This window comes from Homo sapiens, chromosome 11, assembly GCF_000001405.40.
Source record: "Homo sapiens chromosome 11, GRCh38.p14 Primary Assembly".
In the NCBI taxonomy this organism is placed as follows: Eukaryota; Metazoa; Chordata; class Mammalia; order Primates; family Hominidae; genus Homo; species Homo sapiens.
Window position 1 is genome coordinate 122,726,826 of NC_000011.10, and position 24,872 is coordinate 122,751,697.

The window sequence follows — 24,872 nt, forward strand, 5'->3', positions numbered from 1 at the left end:
TGTCTCCCTGTTATGTAAATGAGGGACAATATTGTCCGCCCTGACTCCCATGTGGGAAAGTAATAAGTAATTTCACATTGATCAACCGTTTTGAGCTTTCTGGCAGAAGGGATGCTCAGAGTAGTGCTGTTTTGATGGTTTCTCAGCAAAATACTTCCCTCTTGTCCACGGGTCCCAGGACTTATTTTTAAAAAAGGATTCCGATTGCTAATTGTTAACAAGTTGCTGGGTTTTTTTCCTCCCCTCCAGCTCTTCCTTTCAAAACTTCTGAGCCTTAATTAGCAGCCCCAGTTTCTGGCCAGGCCATGTGTGTCTGATTTTAAGCCGCGTCCTGCCGGGGACTCCTGCTGCACACATGTGCCTGCAAGTGCTCCCCCAGTTTCTGTTGCAGAGTTCTTTCGTTTTTCTTTTTTCTTCCACCACAAGTGCTGAGCCACACAGAAGCTTTAAGACTCCAAATCATAGCGCAGCAGCGAGCCAGTGTTGGCTGTAATTAGCTAGAATTGCAAACTCCTGGTCATAAAGACATCATGTCTTTGCTTACTGTGGTGAATTTCCTGCGTTCTCTAAGGGTCGCAGGAGAGGCTCAGAGGAAGGAAGTTGTCTATCAATTGAGGGAGGGGCGAAACTAGATGATCCCCAAGATGCCTTCACTTCTAAAATTACACTTTAATGACATCTTCTCCAGGGCCCGCCTGTCCCCACGTAGGGAGTGAAGCACCAGGCCCAGCAAGCCCCGTGGAGGCCTCCGAGATGGGCACCAGGAGACAAGGACAGCGAGGCTATCGTCTTGACACCACGGGACCTGGTCACTGTTTTGAAAGGGATTTGGTTTTGTTTTGCTGGGACGCTTCCTGGAAGTCTTTTCTTGAGGCAGTGTGTTTATCTGGTTTCTTAGGTAGAGCATAAGGCTGTTTTCTCTCAGACGTGGACTTGGCAATGCGGAACTCAGTTCTGGGCTGTGATTCAAAGCCTTGCCAGCTTCGTGAATTCAAGAAATCCTTGTTTCCACCCAAAGACCCAAAGAGACTTTGAACAGTCATTTCACCCTCCCCGCACAGCTGGGCCAGATGGCAGCAGTGGCCCAGTCCCTATCCTGAAGGCTCCTTACCTAGAGGAAGTCCACCTCACTGGGGACCTTCTCCTGCCCTGTAGTTTTAGCCCATCTTATCATTATTATTATTATTATTATTTTTAGAGATGAGGTCTCCTGTGTTGCCCAGGCTGGTCTCAAACTACGGGGCTCAAGCAGTCTTCCTGCCTCAGCTTCCCAAGGTGCTGGTATTACAGGCGTGAGCTACCACACCCGGCCTTAGCCCATCTTGAGGTGAAACTATGCAGTTGTTCTGGGAGGATCTACATGCCTGTCCTCCATGAGGATGCAGAGTCGTTGAGTTTACATGGGGAATATTTAGCCGTCCACGTCATTTCTGTGGGCTTCCCTAGGCTGACCCTGGAAAGAATTCCGGATGCTACTTGGGAGATACTCCTTTTTGCAAGTTGGCACAGACATCCTTCTGCCTTTTCTTTGTCCTAGGACCACTCTTTATGGTGTTCCTGTTGAAGCAGGTCGGGGGATTGGGAATTAAGCGTAGCTGACAGGGTAAAATTTGAGGAGCAGGAAGCTCATAGATGGGGGCCACCAGCCCAATTTCTTTATCTTAGGTCTGAGCTGTTAAGACCCATAGCTACTTCTCTTATAATTATCAAACTTTTCTTCTCCATTGAACATCTCCCTATTTAAATATTAGCCTCCCCAGGGAGATCTTTGTGATTCCCCAGCCTAACATGGTGTTTGGCTCACTGTAGATGCTCAAGAATTGGTTGTTGGATTGGGTACCCCATTCAGCAACATTTGTTGAGTGCCTAGAATGCGCTTTGCACTGTGCTGGAGTCTGGTGATGACAAAATCTGATAGAGCCCCTCCCCTTAAACAGTTTATCATCTAAGAAGAGAGACATCTGTGTACTTCTAACATCTAGCACAGGGGCAGAAACAAAGTCATTTGGTGGCTTTTGAGCTTAGAGTCATAAAATGTCAGAGCTAGAGGGTCTTAGGGATTGTTAAATCCCTCCCTCTCACTTTGGAAGTAAAGAAACTGATTGGTCAGAGACTTGCTCAAGGCCACCCGGTCAGACGGGGACAGAGAGTGCTCAGCCTGCCGTCCCTGCTTTCGGCTCTATCACCCCATGCAGCTTGTCTTTGGCCTTTAACTAGAAAGATCAAATCATGAAAAGTAGAGGGAGTACCAGAGAGAGCAGGAACCCACTTTCATTGCAGGTCTACTGTGGCTCAGTGACCTAAATCCTGGGAGGACTGGGAGGCTCTGGACAGTGGCTCTCTGACTAGGACTGCGGAGTGAGTACTCCAACGCCACAGGGGCCAGCTCCCTGCAGTTCCCACTGAGACTTATTTCTCCAGAGGCCAGAAAGCCCAGAAGATGAAGCCTTGTCACTTTTGGTCTTGTGGCCCAGTTCAGCTGAGATGCCACGCGGTTCTTGTTGAGGGGAAGGGGTGTGAGAGGCCCTGGTGCCTGAGCCACACACTGGGGCTTTCCATCCTGCTGAAGTCAGGACCTTCATTGGCCCTGATTCAAACAAACTGATTGGAAAAAGACATTTTTGAGACCATCAGGGGAAAATGAATGTGGATTTGATATTCAGTGATATTAAAGAATGATTATAAATGTTAGATATGATAAAGGCAAGTGATTATGTTAAAGATAAAACAGTTCTTATCAGAGATGCATGCTAATGTCTGGGTTGTTTTAAAATACTCTAGGGTAAATAAATCTTTATGAGTATTTTGGAGTAAAATGATATAATACCTGGGATTTGCTTTAAAATGTTCCAGGCTGGGCACAGTGGCTCATGCCTGTAATCCTAACACGTTGGGAGGCCCAGGTGGGAGGATCGCTTGAGCCCAGGAGTTTGAAACCAGCCTGGCAACATAGCAAGACCCTATCTCTACAAAAAAAAAAAAAAAAAAAAAAAACCCTAAAAAGTTACCCAGGCAGTTAGCTTCGTACCTGAGGTCCCAGCTTCTTGGGAAGCTGAGCTGGGAGGATCAGTTGGGCATGGGAGTTCGAGGCTGCAGTGAGCCATGATCATGCCTGCACTCCAGCCTGGGTGACAGAGTGAGACCCTATCTAAAAAAAAAAAAAAAAAAAAAAAAAAAAAGGCCAGGTGCAGTGGCTCACACCTGTAATCCTAGCACTTTGGAGGCCGAGGCAGGTGGATCACTTGAAGCCAGGAGTTCAAAACCAGCCTGGCCAACATGGCAAAACTCCATCTCTACTGAAAATACAAAAATTAGTTGGGCATGATGGTGTGCGCCTGTAATCCCAGCTACCTGGGAGGCTGAGGCAGAAGAATTGCCTGAACCCAGGAGGTGGAGTTTGCAGTGAGCCGAGATGGCTTGGTGGCTGTGGAAGAAGTGGCTTCCACAGACATGACAGGGTGTGGGTGACATCACACGGGTCCTTGAACAATTGCACTCACATTGTGGGGAGGTTCCCGCCTTTCCATGTGTCCCCTAAGAGACCCAAGGACTTGGCCGGGCACAGTGGCCAACGTGAACTCCATGCCATCCTTGGTATTTTCCATTCATGTTGCCAGACCATCTCTGTTTCAGGTCAGCCTCCTCAGACACCCAGAGAGGCCTATCCTAAGCCAAACCCCCTCACAGAGGTGTAGGGCCAGCACTGCACATCGCTGCACAACTGAGCTTGCCTTCTCAGCCCGCTGTGATGCAAATATTTGGATTCTTTTTTTTTTTTTTTTTAATTGAGACAGAGTTTTGCTCTTGTTGCCCAGGCTGGAGTGCAATGGCACGATCTCGGCTCATTGCAACCTCTGCCTCCCAGGTTCAAGTGATTCTCCTGCCTCAGCCTCCCTAGTAGCTGGGATTACAGGCATGTGCCACCACGCCCGGCTCATTTTGTATTTTTAGTAGAGGCGGGATTTCTCTATGTTGGTCAGACTGGTCTTGAACTCCCGACCTCAGGTGATCCGCCCGCCTCGGCCTCCCAAAGTCCTGGGATTACAGGCATGGGCCACCGCTCCTGGCCAATATTTGGATTCTTATTCACCTTCTGTCCTTGTCTTGCTGTCTTTCATTTCCCTCCCTGACAGTGGAACCTTCACTACTTCTGCCCCCTAAAGGTTCTGCCATGTCTGCAATCCCCATAGTCTCTACAGTGTGATTTTCCTATTACAGTGGCCCCTCCTTATCCTTGGGGATACTCAAGACTCCCAGTGGATGCCTGAAAGCGCAGAGAGCACCAGACCCAATTGTGCCAATCGGATTCTGTTTCAGGTCATGTCTTCCACCCACAAATTTAACACCTTTTCCATCCTAACTAAGCAATTATCATGCACTATGGCTATAACTTTTGCAGTTTGAGGTGTGGCAGCAAAACCAGCACAAATTTCTTCTTCCTTCTTCACAATCTCATGGATGGAAGATGAGTTTTTACTGTAGACCTGGGTGACTTTGGCATGCAATTTTTTTTCTTTCATTATTAAGTTGAGAACTTTCACCTTTTCACTTAAATGGAGAACTTTACGTCTTCTCTTTGGGGATATCCAAATTGCCAGCCTCACTACTCTTGCATTTTGGGGCCATTATAAAGTAAAATAATGGTCATGTGAACATAAGCACTGCAATACTGGGACAGTTGGTCTGATAACCTAGATATCTAGTCACTAGATAACTAAGTGACTAACAGGCGGAGAGTGCAAACAGTGTGGATTCACTACTGCATCCACAGCCTGTATCCAGACTAGACAAAGGGATGATTCATGTCCCTAGTGGAATGGAGTTGGATGGCTCAAGATTTTATCATGCTACCCAGAACGTCACACAATTGGAAACTTGTGAGTTGTTTATTTCTGCAATTTTTCACTTAATATTTTTGGACCACAGTTGACCACTGGTAACTGAACCCTTGGAAAGTGAAACCACAGATAAGGCAGGACTGCTCTACTAGTTTGTTTAAATGTTTGCTCTCTTGTCACACTCACTACTGAGGTTTTTGTACCCAGACATGTCCTAGCCTAGAGCACTGCATTCTGGTCTTCCCATGGCCACGTTCTTTAGTACAGAGTGAAGAGTTCTTAGTTTGAAGGAGATGTGCATACCCTGGAGCCTATGTGTCTCCCACCCCGACGACACACACACACACACACCATGCTCTGGATATTAGGAACACAAATGATGAGGAACCTGCTTCCGGGGTGTCTCCCCCATCTCTAGTCTCCCAAAGACAGACAGCCCTAGCCCTGAGGATGACAAAGGAGCTTCTGTTTGTGGGGGTGTGGACACAACTTTGACATCTTCTTGGGGTACCCATATGCATACATGTGAGGACCCTCCTGGTACCCCCACAGAAGCCAGGGTCTGAGCTAAAAGCAGATGGAAGCAGACCACAGGAGAACAGACCAAGGCCGGCTGGCTGCTGGCTCTTCCCAGGTTGCCATACCCTGACACACAATGGCAAGAAGTCTGAGCCTCTAACCAGGTTGTTATGAAGGTATATTGGCCAAGGTTGGAGGCTAAGGCATATTTATGAGTTGGTTCGCTTGATTTATTATTTGTAAACATTTAGACATTGGTGTATGTGGGCCTCTCTTTATACTCTTGCCCAGGCCCTGCACGTTGTAAGTCTCTGTTTCCTAATGGAGACACAGGAATTTTGCTCTGGGCTGGACTTCATCTTGCCTTAAGGAAGGCTTGTGTTCTTCCATGGTATTTCCTGCAACTTGTAAAATACAACTTGTAAAGTCCTATTGTAGCCCCACGTATTTCCTGTGTTTATAATGGAGATGAAATCGTGGTTTGTCTTTCCACCACCCATCTTTCCACCCCCAACAACCCTCAATTAGATAAACTAACAAGCTAATTAAAAATAGCCTTAAAGTAAGGACACTTGTGTAAACCAACAACTTTATCAGAAAAGGTTTTCCCTGGAATTTCCCATCCTCATTCAAAGGGACAGGCAGTGTTCTGGATTCCAAACAATAGATTCTAATCAATAGCTCCTCCTATTCAAATAGTGGCAGAATCCTACCTGCCTTCCTTCCCTCCAGTGGAATGTTAGTATCTCTCTCAATGAATCATTAAAATTCCTGGCTTGTTATGATGTACCCGTCACTATACCTACATAATATCAAGCAGAAAGCTTTTGAAGGCCTTTTGGGATAGCAGAGCAAGGGTCTCCCCACCCAACTGGTCATATAATTGGCTTTTCTCTCTTTAAAGACTCGAAGCCTTTGTGCTAAACAGAAAATGCCAAAGGTCTTTGGATATGGGGAGTCGAGTGTAGAGGTGGGGTGTTGGCTTCATACACAGCAGAGAATGTTTCCCTCCTTTGCTGTGGAAGACTAACCTTAGCAGCTTCCCACTCACTCCATCTCAAACCCAATTAAATTTTAATTCAGATCATCACGAATACAAAGTGCTTTCTTCAATCTCTATTATTTCTGGAGTTCCCTGGTGTCCAGTTTAAAAAATTCTTCAGGGAAAGATGTCTGGCAGTGATTGGATGAAGGTATTGACTTTGGAAAGAGGAGTCTTAACATCAACAAGTATGTCAACGATAAGTCACTAGAAACAAATCCCAGCCATCCAGTTTGCTTGTTTATGTGGTTCAAGTGCCTCGCGCCAAAGCATGGCCCAGATCCAAGTTTCACATCAGTAATTCCTGCCATTCAACATGTTTAGCTTTTGTTTCTTAATGGGTGTTGACAGACAATCTACTTCCCATAATCCTCCATTCGCAGCTGCCTTCATTGATGTATTCATTCCACACATGTGTTGAGTAGCCCTGGAATTTTTGCTTTACAGACACCCATGGATATGTCAACAGATTATTATTGTAATGATAAGAGTATATGATAATAGAGGTATGTATAGCACTGCATGAACTCAGAAGAAGTAATGTCTTGTCTTATTGAAGAACTAGAATATCTTAGAGGATGACAGTTGACTTGTATCTTGAATGATGCACAAGAGAATTTACAGCAGATTTGAGCAGTCAAAATTTAATGTCTCCTCTCTTTTTTTTTGTTTTGTTTTTGAGACAGAGTCTCACTCTGTCGCCCAGGCTGGAGTGCAGTGGCATGATCTCAGCTCACTGTAACCTCCGCCTCCTGTGTCCAAGCAATTCTCATGCCTCAGCCTCTTTAGTAGCTGAGACTACAAGTGTGCACCACCACACCTCATTAATTTTTTGTGTTTTAAGTAAAGATGGGGTTTTGCCATCTTGGCCAGGCTGGTCTTGAACTCCTGACTTCAGGTGATCTGCCTGCCTCAGCCTCCAAAGTGCTGGGATTACAGGCTTGAGCCACCACGCCCAGCCAAAATTGAATGTCTCCTCCCTTAAGATTTGTACTTCAAAAGCTTTTGGTTTTCATGAGCACAGAAAAGGGGCTGATAGCCTGGTGATCAACTGTGGGCCTTATCAACAGCTACAGTGAAGAGGAAGACATTGAAAAGAGCTTGACATGGCTGAGCCTGAGGAAAGGACTTGGCCTGAGCAGACGGGGATTCCCAAGGAGAAAGGAAGAGGCTCAAGGTCTGAAGCCACTGTGCTCTGACCCCATGTCTTTGCTTGAATGGTGTTCATAGATTTACTAGTTGTTGGTGGCTTCCAGTATACCACTAGGGTGGGAACTGGCTGTCCAGAAAAGCCATCTGGGAGGGACACTTGGTGAGCACACTGTAATCTGGCTTAGCTCAGCATCCTGAAGATGTGGTGTGCTTCACAAGCAAGCCTCACTCCAACGACTGCCTTGGTTTACATCTTGAAATAAGTCCTCATCACTGGATGAGTATTTTAAGATGCAGCTTTCATCAAGACGGTTTCATTAAGGCAATTCCAGTAGAGTGAATAATCATTTTCCCCCCTCATCAGATGTGCTTAATCTTATAGAATTATGATGAGTTTAATCCTCACTTTTTAAGCTGTATCTTAAAAAAAAAAAAGAAAAAGAAAAAGAAAAAACCCTTAGAGAAATGATCCTGCATCTGTGTCAAAACGTTTCCCTCTGCATTTTCAGATCTGTCTTTTCTAGGTCACCATTGCTCTTTATGGCTTTCCTTATCACAGTTTTTTCTAACTTCCTGTTTCCTAGCAAACTTTATATAAACTCATTTTATTTTTACTTAAGCCATTCAGGAGTGAACTTTTCCCCTTTTTGGAGGCCAGTACTTTTTCTGCACCTTATTATTATTGTACACATGAGGGTCAGAGTTATTTCAAATGTTTTGACAACCTTCAATTATTTGCACTTAAGAGGTTGAGTAGAGAAGAACTGCATAAATTCCAAGCAAAATGACATTAGAACAATCACATGGATAATACCCAATAGCATATATTTCTCGTTTGTTTATTTGCCCTTGGAATGTACTTAAAATAGTATTTTTAGTGCACTAAACTGCTTCATTTGCAGTTCTTACACTAGATGGGCAATGAAATTTACAGTCCCGAACATGTGGGTAACAGAAAGCTAGTGTAATATAACTCTTTCCTAACCAGAACAGCTTGTCACAAAGACAGGCTAAATACACACTCTTCTAGTTAAGGAAAGAAATGCAATGCTAGATGAACAGGAAGTCCTGTTCCACCAGCCCAATTCACAAAGACCTAGACCTCATTCCTTTAGTTATTAAACATTTGTTGAGCACCTAATATGTGATAGAGGCGAGAGGTTCAAAGAAGAAAAAGACATTGCCCTGTCCTCTTTGGGTTCGGTAAAGGAATACACAGTGTGGGAAATGCCCAGAGAGTTCTGAGAGTCCCTAGTAGCAACAACTAATTCCACCATATTTCACAGAGAAATATTTGATCTGGACATAGAAAAGTATGTAGAAGACATCTATCTACTTGTCGAAGTGGGGAAGCCGAGTTCCAGGCAGAGGGCCCAGCATGTGCAAAGGCAAAGAAGAAAATGAGGTCATGAGGGAGGCAGAGTTCAGAGTTGTGGGATGTAGGGGGCATGAGAGCGAAGTGGCGGCTTGAGCCTAGAGACATAGATTTGGACACCATCATGGAGCACCTTGGACACCATCTGAAAAGGATTTTACCTGTAGGTAACAGGGAGTCCCTGAAGGTTTAAGCAGAGGTAATATGGTTACATCTGAGCTCTAGAATAACTGATAGCAATGTGGATGGTGTATAAAATGGGAGAGAAGACAGGAAACCAGAGCAGACTTGCCAGGTAAGAGACAAAGATATTCTGGCCCAAGACAGTGGAGGTTCAGAAAGGGGAAAGGCAGTGCAGTTCAGCCTCATTTAGGATGCTTTGGTACCTGGCAGAGAAAGATAGAGAAGTCAAGAATGCTTCCTAACTTCTTGTTATTTCAGCTTTGTGCCAGTTCTCCAAGTGCACAGATAAAAACATCTACTGCTAAAGCCCAACTCCCTCTGCTTCTCGGTGTTCTTTCATTTCTTCTCAGAACTGTGTAACTCATCCCTAGAGTTTTTTCGGACACAACCTCATTCTATATTCTGATGCTTTTAGTTCTGAGAACTACAAGTTCTCAGCATGGGCATCATGCTAGAAGTTAAGGCATGCAGAAGGGAGACCTGGCCTTTTTCTCCAAGAAGTTCATAAGCTTATGGAGGAGAGAGACAGATAAAACTCTAAATACTAATTCATGCAGAATGGAAAAAAAAGGGCTAGGGGAACACAGAGAGAATGCTGGGAGAATTCAGGAGTTTATGTAGAAGGTGGGGCTTTAGCGACGCTCTTCATTCTTACTGAGCATCTACCTCATGGCCTGTACTACACTTAGCACTGAGATCAACAGGCTAACACGCACACATGATGAGAAGGAAAACACACATCAAATAAGTAATTAACTACAAGCAGAATGCATGCTGGGAAAGAAATGCAGGGTGTCATGAGAATGTGTAACTGGGAGATTTAAGGATCGGGAAGCCAGGCGTGGTGGTTCACACCCGCAATCTCAGCTACTTGGGAGGCTGAGGAGAGAGGATCGCTTGAGCCCAGGAGTTTCAGTCCAGCTTGGGCAACATAGTGAGACCCTCTCTCAAAATGAAATGAAATGGAATGAAATGAAGAAATGAAAGGAAATAAAGGATCAAGGAAAGCAACATAGAAGATTTAAGCTAAGATTGAGAGGTGGGCAGAGATATTACTGTAGGGAAGGGAAAGAATGTTCCTGAAGAAAGAATGCATGCCCACTGCTCAGCTGTGAGAAAATGTGGCACGTTCAAGGAACTGAAAGAAATCTAATGTTGCCGGAAGAGGGTAGCCTAAAGTAAACCAGGGAAGGGCCAGAAAATAGAGCATACAGGCAAATTAGCCATGTTAAGGTTCTGGAACTTTACCCTAGAGGAAATAGGGAGCTACTGGGTTGTTTTAAGAAGAAGAGTGTATGATTATCATTGTATATTTGGAGAATAAATTGGAAAGGGCAAAACCGGAAGCAGGAGATTTGTTAAAGCTGCCGGAGTTGTCAAAGCGAGGGGTGATGGGGCTTAACACAGAGAGAAAACAAGGGATAAAAAAGAACCAGTGTCCAAGAAATTTAGGAGGCACACATGGACAGGACCTAATGATGAATTAGATAGGAGAGGTGAGAGAAAGAGAGAAGTCAAGGATGGATCTTAGGTGGATCTTAGCCTGTTGATCTCAGTGCTAAGTGTAGTACAGGCCGTGAGGTAGATGCTCAGTAAGAATGAGGAGCGTCGCTAAAGCCCCACCTTCTACATAAACTCCTGAATTCTCCCAGCATTCTCTCTGTGTTCCCCTAGCCCTTTTTTTTTTCATTCTGCATGAATGAAACTTGGGAAATTGCATGGATGCTCTGCCCTGAGCCAAGAGACTCTGGAGAGAAGCAAAATTGGCGGGGAAAAAGGTGAGTTCACTTTTTGAACACATGAGGTTTAGTGCAAGCAAGATATTCAAGTGGAGATTTCTAGTAAGGAATAGGTCAGGACGCCAGAGGGTTGAGCAGGAGAAACTGGAGGGACCTGGAGACTAAGGGCATCCTTAGCATGTAGAAGCTGGAGGTATGGCCCAGGGAAGAGCTGGGATTACCCGGAGAGAATGAGTAGAATGTATGGAGAAAGACTGGACAGATTCCTGAGGAATACTAGCAATTAAAGTGCCTGTAGAGAAGTCAGAGTTTACAAAGGAAACTGAGAATAAGCCACTAGAGAAAAGGGCAAAAGACAAACCAAAGGGGCATAATCAGGAAAGTAAAAGTAGAGAACAAAGGGAGGGCTCCTAATGGGAAATGCCGTTGAGAGGTCAAGAGACAAAAATCCCATTGAATAGAGTGTGGTGACTCAGATTCTCACTGTTACTTACTAAGTGACCTTAGACCAGTTATTTACACTGAGCCTCATCCATAAGTTGGAACGATTGCATTGTATTTAGATTGGTGTCTTAATACATGTGCAGTAAATCTTAGCCATTATTATTCAATGGCATGAATAACTATTAGGGACTTTGTTAGTGGGGAAGTGCCAAATTAGAGTGACTTTTAGCTGAAGGGGAAAGTGCAATTGAGCACTTGAGAGAGGCTGTTTAAATGCAAAGAAGCAGTTCCAGGGAGGAAGAGATAGAAGACAGAGGAGAAGACAGGCTTTCAGTGGGAATAAAGTAAAGCAACACAGAAGGACAGGCATGGCAAGAAGCCTGAGCCATGGGGTTACACAGCATGACAACAGATGTGGTCAAGTGCAATGGTCAGGAAGAGGCAGGAAGAGCTACGGTGGGAGTTGAGCCTGTAAAGAATGTTACATTCATCCAGGCACAGTGGCTCACGCCTGTAATCCTAGCACTTTGTGAGGCTGAGGTGGGCAGATCACCTGAAGTCAGGAGTTCGAGACCAGCCTGACCAACATGGAGAAACCCCGTCTCTACAAAAATACAAAATTAGCTGGGCGTGGTGGTGCATGCCTGTAATCACAGCTACTTGGGAGGCTGAGGCAGAAGAATTGCTTGAACTCAGGAGGAGGAGGTTGTGGTGAGCCGAGATCACACCATTGCACCCCAGCCTGGGCAACAAGAGTGAAACTCTGTCTCAAAAAAAAAAAAAAAAAGTTACGTTTATGAATTTGAATATTTGAATTTTGCTTTGTGTGGATATAAGGGAGCCATGGACAGTTGTACAGGAGTGGAAGGGTTTGTTTTGTTCTGCTTTGTTTTGTTTTTGAGACAAGGTCCCACTCTGTTGCTCAGGCTGGAGTGTGGTGGCACGATCACGGCTTACTGCAGCCTCAAATTACAGGGCTCAGGGATCCTCCTGCCTCAGCCTCCTGAGTAGCTGAGACTACAGCATGTGCCACCACACCCGGGTAATTTGTAAATTTTTTGTAGAGACAGGGTCTCACTACGATGCCCAGACTGAGGAGTGGAAAGTTTAACTCAACCTGTTTTAGAAAAATTATTCTAACAATAGAGAGAAGTATGGATTATAGAGGAGGAAGATTTAGAAAAGAGCTGTCCACAGTGTGTGGCTGGGGGAGGAATTTTAATAGAGAGCAAAAAAATCACTTGTAAGCATTTAACCTTGGCTAGGTCACTTAACCTCATCAAGACTCAATTTCTCCACTAATAAAATGGGAATAATAAGATTTCTCTCTGAGGTTCTTTTGGGCATTGCATTTTCTATCAAGTACCTACTATAGTGCTTGGCATACAGTATTCTTCTCACGCTCTATCCTCCTCCTGACAGCTCCATGCTGTTGGTGGGTATCCATGGTCGGGTATTGGAATGTCTTACTCTCCTCTGATTTTCAGGAGACATAAATTTTCTTCCTAACTTTGCAATACTGAAGGAAAAAACAGTCTTCTGAAAAGTTTCCTTCCAAGTGCAGGGCTAAATTTTCATCTCTGCTCACTCTCTGATTTGACAAATTGGCATAGCTCATTTGCTGTGTACCAAATTGTCTTGATGCAAGAGTTTTTACATTTGGGGCTGGGCAGTGGTTCAAAAGTATCACTTTCCCATTAAGCTTTATGGGATTTACCTACAAGATGGATAACACATCCTTCAGACAGATGGCACAGCCCTGAAGCCATTGCCTAATTTCTTCTTCAGTGTTCTCCTTTTATCCTGTCTTCTATGATAGCTGATTTCCTTACATTCATGTCCACCCAGAAATAACTAGTTTCTAGAAAAGCTGTAATATGGATTGTATTTCTGTAAAGCCATATGTTCCATACGTCCTGACATCCTCGCAGATGCCATTTGATTCCATTTTGTCATATTCATTTAATAAATATTGAGTGTCTGCTTGGTGCCTGGCATCTGCAGTGCAAAGAGGAATAATATTCAGTTCTACACGCTGAAGGATCCCATATTTTGTGGCAAAGCAAGATCTAAAGACATAATTTAAGTAGACTGTGAATAGGTTAATTTGGAGCTACTAACTGGCTATCATGCAGGTGGGAATTGGGAGGTCACAAGAAACTTTCAGCAAATCTGGCATTTGAACTGCACCTTGAATTGTGAACTGAATCTTCCCAGGTGAAGAAAAGGGGATGGGCTTTCCTGACATGTTTCCTGATGAAAGAGCATGTACTTGAAAGAGAATGGCTGGCTCTGTAAAGGGTGAACCGTGTGTTGTCCCAGGATTAGGATGCCAGCAGCTGTTTACTGAAAGCACAATATGTGTTGTGTGCATGGTGCTAAGTACTTGTTTTATTTCACTTGATGCACACGGCAACCATATGAGGCAGTCCTATTATTATTCCCATTGTACATGGGATATCACTGATGCTTAGAGAGGTTGGATAACTTGCCCATAACAGAGTGATAAGCTATAATTTGAATATAAACCATCCTGTACACTCCTGAGTCTGTACTTGCAAGCGACCCTGCCATACCAGATGTGTGCAGGCCATCTGTGTACATGTGTGTGGGGCAAGGGGGCAAGCTGAAGGCAGAAAGGTCAGTTGAGGCCAGCTTTGAGATACTGAACACCAAGATAGAGGTTGTTGTAGACAAACATCTCTGCATGTTCATTTTTTATAAAAATTCACTATATTACTTTTAAAGTGAAACAGAACCCACTCTTTAGAGCATTTTTTAGCAAAAGTCCTGCTTTAGTGGGACATAATGTGTACATAAAATGGGGACTGAGGTTAGTAATCTAATTAAAAACAAATCGTTCGCAGGGATTTTGATTCCTTCTTACTTCAAAGCGCATATTAACATATAAATGAATTCTGTCCTCAAGGTAAGCCCCAATTACGTAAAAGTATTTCCAGGTTATTCGCTCTTTTCACCTTAAAAATGACAAAGTTTATTTTTTATATAAAAATTGAGGAATTCAGAACTTAACCTCTCAGCTAGTTTGAGGACTAAAGCTGTGATGTGATTCAGATTTTATAAGATCTTCACAGAATAAAATATTCAATTTACTCTCAGTTCATAGAATATTTTCATGTTCGGCTCTTTTCCTTCATAATGAATTTTAAAAATTTTCAATTGGATCTTAAATGAGATGTATCCCCGAAGTGTTTCAAACAGCAGAAACAAACCCAAACCCACAAAGACATAAATCAACAAAAATAGCACTCTTTGCATTGGCTGTTTACCAATAAATGAACATTCGGGTTCGTGTTAGAACTCAGTGAATGAGCAAAACCGGAGGTTGTGTTTGCTTCCTTTCAAGCCCGTCTCTTTAAGATCTAAGTCAGTTCACATAGTGGTCAGTGAACATCCCACTCCAGAGGAACTGCGTGAGTGATCGAATACTCCAAGCCTGAAATCCTCGCGGGTCTCCTGGTGGGAAGGCCGAGACATTTGCGTTATGAGGCCCCGTGATGCTTTGCTTGGGAGAGCACAGACCTGTAAGCAGCAAGGCATCCAGCTGCTCCTCTTCCCTCCCATAAGGCCCTCACGACAGCCAGGCCCCAGAAACGTGAACTTTCTGAACTTGGGTGGCCAGGCTGCTTCAGAGCCTCTTCTGGAGTCAGCAACCCTCCTTTGCTCTTCCCCCCTCCCTCCCACGGGTTCTGCTTCCTGGACCCTTCTGCTGACCAAGGAAACCAGCCTTGAGCAATTCCTAAGTATTTCACTCAACCCCAAGCAGTCCAACCCCGCTAGGAGGACTCCCCTCTCCTTTTGCCAGATCTCTTCTGGAAACTGGCTCACTCTCACTACTCATGAGATGAGATTTAGCCTCTCTGGTCTGATGGTGGAGCAGAATCCTGAGGACCCCTCCCTACCTCCTCACAAAACTAGCACAGCGGCAACGAAATCTGGAGTTGGACACAGTCCAAGGTCTTCTCAGGGATCCGCTTCCTCCAGGAAGATTCTTCCTCACTTGTCAGTCAGCGAGACTGCCTTGGTCTTAACCTCTGACCTCAGGGATTATTCAAGCCTGGAAGGGTCGGGAGAACCTTTTTAGAAAAGGGTGGGACTTGGAGAAAAAGAGATTTGGACAGTATTGCAGACAGGAGAAGCAAACCGAGCCAAGAAGTGCAAGAAACCATCCTAAGTACAGGAGTCTCTCGTTTCAGTCTTGAAGATCTCCAGGAAAGGAAATTCCAGGGCTTCCCCTGAGTCTAACCCATCCTTTTTCCTATGACCTCTGATGCTCCATTTTATGGGTCCCGGCTGTTAAATATGTAAAACCTAAAAGGAAGAGGGCCAGGAAAAGGAGACCATGGTCTGCTACAGAAGTGCTAGCCTGGCGGAAAAAGCCAGTCTGGGCTTGTTTTGCGGTCCACTCTTGTCTCCTTTCAGCCACACGTGTGACATCACTAGGCCTTCTCTTAGGCTAGTTTGGGAGGGCGGCCTGCCGACATCCCCACTCTCCCCTCCAGAACCCCCTTGGTCAGGAATATAGCACGAAGGGTTCCCTCTCAGCTGCCTGGCATTGAGGCCATTTTCCTTTGCAAGGGCACTACTGTGGGAAAATGTTTTAAATCACTTTTCTCAGAGAAAGGGAAAAACTGAAGTTCCGGAGATGTCATTCACCCCCAGAAATGTCATACTATGACTTCCCCTTAACCTTTTTCTCTGTGTGTTGTGGAAATCTGTTCCAAGCCACTCCAGCAATTCAATTATGTAAATGGAGTGACCCCACCTCCTGAACACCGCCTGAGCTTGAGCCTGGCCGGCTAGAGTTTTTTGTGTGTGTGGTGTGTGAGAAATGGGATAGAGTGAGTGCCTCCATGGCCCACCTGGCCCTGGGTGCCCCCTCCCTGTGGCAGCTCTCTGTTCCTCCTCTCTTTAGTCTTCTCTCCTTTCAGCGTCCTTGTTGCCATCAGTTTTTGCTGTGGCCGTTCTGAGGTACCTGAAGAGCCAGAGTGGGAGATAGGAGTTATGACAGCCTTGAAAATGGAAAGTTGGGATCAGAAAGTCTACTTCTGGGACCCTGGAACAAGTGACTTAATCTCTCTCTCTCTCTCTCTTTGAGGCAGGGTCTTGCTATGTTGCCCAGGCTGGAGTGCAGTGGCATGATCACAGCTCACTGCAACCTCCAACTCCAGGGCTCATGTGATCCTCCCACTCAGCCTCTCAAGTAGCTGGGACTACAGGCATGCACTACCATGCCTAGCTAATTTTTTTACTTCTTGTACAGTTGGGGGTCTCGCTATGTTGCTCAAGCTAGTCTCAAACTTCTGGGCTCAAGTGACCCTCCTGCTTCGGCTTCCAGAGTTTCGGGATTACAGGAATGAACCCATTCCTGGCTGACTGATTAAGTCCCATGCCTGGCTGACTTAATCTCTTGCCTTCAGCTTCCTCATCTGTAAAATGGGTATACTATTAGCCTCATGAAGCTGTCTTGAGGATTGAAAGAGATGCTAATTATGAAAAAACTGTAGAACACAAAGTGCTGCAAGGATGTGAATATTCGAAAGCAGGTCCCTGGTCTCTTTCACTTTGGAGTGGGGTTGGGGTACGGCACAAAGCAGAATGTTTCCATTGCAAAGGAGCGTGATGGAGTAAGCGGCAGAGGGCCTGAGGGGCAAGGTGGCGTGGCAGGCACGAGTAAGTCTAGCAGGGCTCTTGGAAGAAGCAGTTTCCAAAGGAGAGGGCCCCATATTGGCAGGCAGGAAGGTGCAGGGTGCTCCCTTCTTCCTCACAGAAAACCCCTGGCGAGGAAGAGGTGTGATTTGATCAGGGTGGCTGCATCAGACAGGCGTTCAGTACCTTTCCCACCAGAGCTGGTGCTGCTCAGGAGCTGAGCCAAGTCAGGGCCTCATGCAGCCCAGCTCTCCTGCCTGTGAGGGAGACCCAGGCGTCAGTGAGATGTCCCTTTTGAATCCAGCCCATGCACCTGGGCCCCTTTACAGCGGTTCTCACTTCACCAGCACCTCCCCTTCCCACGCAGGCTTCCTGTTTTGAAACCACCAATAGATGGAAAATGTGAGTACTGCCGCTTGAATGGCTCAGGCTGTGTGTGTGTCTGGGTGTGTGAGGTTCTGTGTGAGTTTGTGCTGTGTGAGCCTGTGTGCGCACATAAATGTGTATGTGCAAATGTGAATTTGAGTGTGATAGTGTAGGTGTGACTGTATGAGCATGTGTTTGTGCATGTGGGTGAGCGTGTGACTGTGAGTGGTTGAGTGAGTACATGGACACGTGTTGTGTGCATTTGAGCATGTGTATCGGTGTGTGGCTGTGTGAGTGCCTATATAAGTATATGATCATGTGTGTGTTACTGTGTGTGTTGCATGAGCATGTGTGCCTATCTATGAGCTCGTGTTGTGACTGTGATCATGTGATCATGTCTAAGAGTGCCTGTGTGGGTGTGTGACTGTGTGTGACTGTGTGTGAGGGTGTTTGTGTGCATGTGTTGTATGAGTGACCATGTGTGTGACAACGCAAGTGTATGATCAAATGTGTGTCACTGTGAGTGTGTGTTGTGGGTGTGATCACATGTGCAACTGTGTGTGACCTGATGTGAGTGTTTTGTGTGTGATTGTGTCAGTGTGTGAGTGATCACATGTGTGCTATATGAGTGATCATGTGTGTGACTGTGTGATCGTGTGTGATTATATATGTGTGTGGCCAGGGGAGAATGTGTGTTGAGTATGATCACATGTGTGACTCTGTGTGTGTGTGTGTGTGTGTGTGTGCGCGCGCGCGCGCACTTGGGCACGTGAGTGTGCCGCACAGCCCGGGGAAGGGCAGCTGAGGCAGAGGACTTTCCTTGCAGGGGACCAGCCTGGTCTGGGGTCTGGGGAGAGGGTGTTGAGGAGCGGTGGTCCTCCCAGGGAGCCCGTCTGCCTGAGTGGCAAAAGCAAGGAGCAGGGTAACACTGGCATCTGCAAGCACGTCCTGGAAGCTGCCTGAGGCCTTCCATCCACACTGAAAGACTCACCTCTCAGCTTGTATCTTTTTTTTCTCTCAAACTTTAAAACAAATAATTTCTTACCACTCCAAAAATGCATTCCTGAGAAACTGGATCACGTAACAAACAGATTAGACTGTCAGCCTTCCTAGCTGGATGGGCAGGCAGCACGTCTAGTCCATTTTCCTATTCCCAGTACTTAGCACAGTTCCTGGTAGCTGGCAGGGGTCAGTGCATTCATTCAGCAAGTATTTATGGGGTGCTTACCATGTGGCAACACAGATCATAACAAAGTCTCTGATCTCAGGGAGTGTACAGCACTGGGGAGCATGATCACAGTCCCATGAATACATAGGTACATGTGACAGGTGCTGAAAATCTTGGATGAAAGAATGGATTCCGTTTCCAGCTCTTTCCATAGCTTTGTAGAAGAGACTCCGGCTTTTTCTGGCTATTGGGAGAGGCAAGGCCATAATCAATATGCCTTTCTTCCTTTACAAAGATATTATTGACCCACAGGCTTTGAAAACAAAAATTTTCCCTTAGTGAGAAAATATAAATGGATAAGCTTCATCTCCCCTGCCATGCCCTCTCTCACTCCTGTGACCACCTTGTGACTTCTTGGGTCCCTTCCCCCATTGCACCCGCTGTTCCGTCACTCTTGTCTGGGTAGCAAAATCCCACTTATCTATCAAGGCCCAGCTCAAATCCTGTCCCTTCTGGGGCAGAGGTCATCTCCCGATAGGTGACCCACCTGCATGCTTTAAATGACTGGGGGAGCACGTATATCACAGCATTACGATTATTTGCTCTGTGTTTGTTTTCTGTCTCAGCTGAGCTCCTTGAGGCCAGAGACTTTGTTTTGTCTATCACTGAAGTTCCCAGAGCCTGGCACGGGACCTCGTCCTTCTTAGATGTTCAACATGTGTGGGATGGATGAACGGATGGGTGGGTGGGCAGACGGATAATTAGATGAAGGCTCCGTGCCCGCCCTTGTGTCATGAAAGATATACACTACAAAGATGGCAACCTAGGACTGAGCTAAGGCCCAGGGACCATGCAAAGGATAGTGTTTCAACAGTGGCTGGCATTGAGTAGGGCAGCTTTTACGTTTTTATAAATAACCTGAAAAAGGAAGTTCAGACTGAAACTCACACGTCTATGGGTGACACAGAGCTCTTTCGGTAGGGAGGTTCCATGCCAAAAGGGTAGAGGAGGGGAGGATCCCCTAAGATATGAGTGGGCGGACAAGTGGAAGGTTGCTTCAGCGTGAACAAACTCAAACCACTGTATTGACGCGGAAGTTATCTGAGGTATAAGATGGTGCCTCCGGGTGATTAAGTTTGACAAGAAAGCGTCACTTCATTCAATCAATAAATTAAACACCTACTATGTGCTGGGCTTTGTGCTCAGGCCTTTACCTCCTACCCTTGAAGATCTCAGAGTCTAATGGAGAAGAATGCTTCCAATGTAGTGGGAAAAATAGACATAGAAGGAAATAATTAGAGATAAGACTGGAAGGGCTAATAGAAGAATGGTAGAGAGTGCTATGAGACTTCCGAAGAGAGCTGCTCTGCTATCTGTGGTGGGGAAGTCGGGAGGATTTATTCATTCTGTACTTATTTCATGAATAGTTCAGGGCATTTACCGTGTGCTCAGTTTTGAAGGCACCAAGTTAAACAGATATGGAGTCTTATCTCCAAAGAGCTTACAGTCCACTGGGAGTGATGGATAGGTAAAGTGTGGGAGGGGCCGTGAGGGGGGATTTGTGATTCAGAAAGGATTTCGCTGAATGGTGAAATCTTGACCTAAAGTCATCCTTTAAATTCATTAGGCAGAAAAGGGGGAATGTGGACAATCCCAGCAGAAAAAGCAAAGTGGGCAAAGGTTCAACAGAGAGAACACCAGGGTGTGTTTTGGAAACTGCCGAGGCTCCTGGCTGAAGCAGAGGCTGCGGGGTGGGGGTGGTCACCGGAGAGGCAGCTGGGCTGACAGGGGCCAGCACAGGCATGGCCAAGGATATGGGGAACCTCTGCAGGATTTTAAGCAGGACAGTGATGTGATCTAGATTAATGGTTAAGAAAGATTATTCTAGTCTTGGTGGAGGGTGGACTATAAATTGGAGAATGAAAGGGAGAGTGAAACCAGCAGCCAATAGGACCCCTAAAATCGTCTTAGCAAGAGCTTATGCACTGAGAACAGAATGAGTTAATAGACCCAGAACCAGTGGAGTGGAATTGTCCTGATGACACCAGCCAAGGAGTTTGGGGAAATGTTATTCTCTCACTGTGCATGTAAGGCACCCTGTGGGGACAGTGCTGAGCTTAGGACCTAGAGGCAGCATCAGATAGGAGGGGAGAAAAATACACCAGAGTCCTGGGGAGTGTGGGCTGGGCCATGGCTCTGTGTCCTTAGAGAGTTATGAGACTTGACTGAGCCCCCGTTGGGACTGCTGTGAGAAAGAAGCGGGATAACATATTATAAACAATAGCATCTGCAGCTGGAGTGATGTTGGGTGGTTTGGGTTCCTGTACGTTTGGAGACAGAGTCAAAGCTGGGGAACGTCTTTAAGCTTCTGAAAGCTTTCTTTATAGAGACGCAATGAAAATATTAGAGCTGTTCTATCTGGAAAGTACAAAGGGAGGATGCCAAAGTTTAAGTAAGCTTCATAGCACAGGCATGGAGAGGAACTCAAACTGCCTGGTTTCAAATCCTGCCTTTGTGACCTAAGATCCATATATTCCCTTGAGTGAGCTATTTAACCTTTCAAAGCCTCTGTTCCCTCATTTGTGTAACAGGGATAATAATGAGCTGACTGTTGTGAGGGTTAAATGATACAATGCAGGTAAAGAGCATAGTACATACACCACGTTACACATGATAAGCTTGTAAGTAGCAGCAGCTATGAAATCATTAACTGGGACAAAAGTCTGCACACTCAGTCCCCCAATCCTGCAAAAGGAGGATCCTGCAAAAGGAGAGCAAGAATACCTCCCTTGTGTTGGAAGAAACACATTGTGGCAAATAAGAAAAGGTGGAGCGACTTCACATAGTGGTTTAAAACTGACAAAATCCATCATTCCAAACAAATCGGTGTGGACAACTTCAGACCGTCATTCTGCCTTTCAGCTGTAGGTGGGAGTTGAGTAGCAGCTGCCATCTTTCTTTCATTGTTTTAACTTTTTGGAAATTATCAACATTCACAAAAGCAGAGAGGATAGTGTAATGAACCCCCATGTATCTTCATCCAGATTCAGTAACGATCAACATACCTCCAGTCTGGTTTCATCCCAGCTGCCCCTATAGACGGGCACGCGCCATCCCAGCTCCCTGTGCACTCGGAGAATTCTCTTCCTTACTTGCTTTTCCCTCAGTGGAAATGGAAAACAGCCTGTTGTTAATGTCATTTAATCTCAGTTTAGCTTCCTTTAGGTTGGGCTAAATAATTTACGTTTATGCAATTTATTACTACAAAGCATTTCTTGACATTTTCATCTTCTCCTTGATTCTTTGAATACCTCCATTTCCTCCCGTCCACAGAAGATTGTGAACCCAGAACAAGACACAAGAGCTCTGTGAGTGTCCATCCAAGGGTCGCAGTGACGTGAGGCTAAATGCAAGGCCTGCTGCCCACCCAACTCTAAGCGCCTACCAACCCCAAACTGTGTCACAGTCCCTGGGTCTCTTGCACACGCTTGTGCTTAATACTGATTTGCCACTTAACAAGTCCCTTGGATGTCAGCAAAAGAGTGAGTACACGGAAGGAAAGAGAGCCCTTGTTTTTTCTTTCTTTTTTTTAAATTAATTTTTATTTTTTAAAGAACACATCACCTCTGCCAGAACCCTCAACTTTGGCTACGCCTACATGGAGAATGTTTTCATGGCCAAGACAGTCCACGACAGCTTTATGTTCTCCTGGACCTGGAGAGGTCCCAGCACACTGTGTGCCCCATACTACACATAGCAGTATGTGCATCATCACTGTGAGAGGAAGAGCCTTCTGCTGACACATCGAAAGTACTCAGATCGGATCCCTTGTGGCTTTGGCTGTCATCAGAAGCCCTCCCCTGAGATACAGCTGAATCATGTACTGCATGTCTTTAGTTGGTGTCTAATTTGTGGGGCTGGCAGCCTGGAATGTAGTTATTGCAAATGATACTAATCTCTGAGCTGCATTCCAGAGCGAAACTGCTTCTATGGATGCTATAATTAGCACAGACTTATTATGCATTTACTATATGCAAAGCACTTCATGTATTGGCAACACTTGCCTTAAACCTAGAAAATAATCACAATTGTTTGCATTTGCATTGTGCTTTGCATCTTACATCTGTAATATTAACAAAGAAGGCTTATTGGGTGCCAACTGTGCACCACGCATTGAGTCTGTAAAAACCTCCAAACAACCCTCTCTGTATTGTTCCATTCTCTATTGTCAGAAGCTGAGGGTTAGCTCTATTTAGTGAATTGACCAAGGGCCTCACAGCTAGTGAACAAGGGAACATAATTCAAATCCAGGACTGTGCATCAGTCCATGGGTCTGACCACTGCACCACACTGTCTTCTAACTCTAACAGAGTAATCGCTATTTGAGAGGTAATCATTCTATTTTATTTTATTTTATTTATTTTATTTTAAGACAGAGTCTCGCTCTGTCCCCCAGGCTGCAATGCAGTGGCGCTTTCTCGGCTCACTGCAACCTCCGCCTTCTGGGCGCAAGCTATTCTCGTGCCTCAGCTTCCCAAATAGCTGGGATTACAGGCATGCGTCACCACACCAGGCTAATTTTTATATTTTTAGTAGAGATGGGTTTTTGCCATCTTGGCCAGGCTGGTCTCAAACTCCTGGCCTCAAGTGATATGCCGGCTTTGGCTTCCCAAAGTGCTGGGATTACAGGTGTGAGCCACTGCTCCTGGCCAAGGTAATCATTCTTAAACCACTTTTATAGATGAGATGCCAATGCCCAGAGAGATTTTCTTCAAATCCTGCTGATAAATAGCAGAGCCAAGGCTCAAAGTCAGATCCTGTGACCCCATATTCAGTGTTTCTGAGTGCAACACCTGTTCCTCAGGCCGATGCTGCCTGGGCTAGGGGAACGGCTCATCACCACTGGCCTCCTCCCACTGTTGAGATAGGGCTCAGTTGCAGGGCCCCCCCACCTTTCTTCTTTACTTCCGGCATATTGCTCAGGCTGGTTGGGAGGGACAAGTTTAAAGAACACATCGGCTGGGTGGAACCGGGAGGGACACACTCAAAGTTACAATGTACCCTCAGTTACCCCCACAGAATGTTGTTGTGATTTTGACCCAAACCCCCAAAGCTACAACAACTTCACCTTAGCTTACTGGCACACTAGTATTATGTGTGTTAAGGGCAAGTGACTGATTATTTTACTCTCCATGAGGTAAGGAACCAAATTCCATCCATCCTGAAGAGAAAGGGAAAAAGAATTATTTCCAAAGGATCCTCATGAAATGAATCTGGAGAAGTTAAGAACCCAGATACTGCCTGCCTTGCACCTGATGGTGGTTAATAGCCGTTTTGCATCTCTAGAGTCCATTTTTCATAATGCATTGAAGGCTAACCTAGTAAGCTCAGAGTGACGATCCTGATTGCTTGCGTTTTAAGATCCTAGTCCAAGCTCTACTTCTGTCAAGATAGAGAAGCTGGGGACAAGTCACTTGAACATAGAGTCCCCTCCTTCTCCACCAGGAAGACGCAAATGCTTGCCCCTCTTGTCAGCCTCTTAGGAAGGCTGGAGAAACAGGCAATCATGTGAACATGCCTTGAGATCCTTGACAGAAGGATACAGAAACTCATTTTATTATCATTTTCCCTGAGAAAGGTGCATTGAACACTGACAGTGGGATTATTGAGATAGAGTTGAGCGAACATCAGCATTTCAGTGCCTGACAAGACGGATGTGTACCTGCAGGTAGGCGGAAAGAACCGTACCACGCGCCTGGGTTTTGGGCCATGTTGTTTACGCTTCCCGGCCTCTCATGTTTTGGGAAAGTGCATAATTTATTGCAGTGCTTTGGCCAACAACAAAGAGCTTTTTAAGTTACACCTGGCAGCATTTATCTTATTATAATGGAAAAATTAGATATTATTTCACTGTGTGGATGAGATAATCGGGTCCCTAAAATGTGAAATTCCAATTCTCTTGCACTGAGGAGTGTCTTCCCAGAAGCCTCCTGAATGCTCCTTGGGAGAATGCGGTCCACGCCCCAGGAGCTAAGAAGCAGTGAGGTGTGTCACACTCCTTCTCTGCCCTCCCATCTCTGTCGTCATCTGTCCATTGGAGGCTCATTGCAGTCTGAAATTGGATGTGGCTTGTCAGGGAGATGCTGGCAGCCTGGCCAGCAGCCGGCTTCAGGGCCACCAACAGAGCCCACCTCCTGGCTCCAGCCTACCCTATAATTAGGTGTTTTAATTGGGTGCTCTGTTTATACTCGGCCAGAACTGTTGTGCTGGCTGAGGCCTCACACAGGCAATGCTGCCTGGCTGCAACCTGTTCTCCCCTGGGAAGATGGTGTTTATTATGAAGGGAATGGAGTCTGGAGCCACACACCCAGGCCTT

The 24,872-nt window shown here is 45.6% G+C and overlaps 1 protein-coding gene across 2 annotated transcripts in view, besides 4 other annotated features; it reads left to right on the top strand.

Moving 5' to 3' along the window:
- Positions 1–24,872, top strand: part of UBASH3B (ubiquitin associated and SH3 domain containing B) — a 158,752-nt gene that overhangs the window by 71,104 nt on the left and 62,776 nt on the right. The window lies entirely within an intron of this gene.
- Positions 669–728: an enhancer, noted in NCBI's record as "active region_5667". NCBI's record gives its function as "activates an Ori minimal core promoter by ATAC-STARR-seq in GM12878 lymphoblastoid cells {active_cell/tissue: GM12878}" and the evidence as "EXISTENCE:reporter gene assay evidence [ECO:0000049][PMID:35858748]".
- Positions 16,853–16,952: an enhancer, noted in NCBI's record as "active region_5668". NCBI's record gives its function as "activates an Ori minimal core promoter by ATAC-STARR-seq in GM12878 lymphoblastoid cells {active_cell/tissue: GM12878}" and the evidence as "EXISTENCE:reporter gene assay evidence [ECO:0000049][PMID:35858748]".
- Positions 17,652–18,619: an enhancer, noted in NCBI's record as "H3K4me1 hESC enhancer chr11:122615185-122616152 (GRCh37/hg19 assembly coordinates)". NCBI's record gives its function as "activates a minimal SCP1, AML or CMV promoter by ChIP-STARR-seq in primed H9 embryonic stem cells {active_cell/tissue: H9 hESC(primed)}" and the evidence as "EXISTENCE:reporter gene assay evidence [ECO:0000049][PMID:30033119]".
- Positions 22,392–22,441: an enhancer, noted in NCBI's record as "active region_5669". NCBI's record gives its function as "activates an Ori minimal core promoter by ATAC-STARR-seq in GM12878 lymphoblastoid cells {active_cell/tissue: GM12878}" and the evidence as "EXISTENCE:reporter gene assay evidence [ECO:0000049][PMID:35858748]".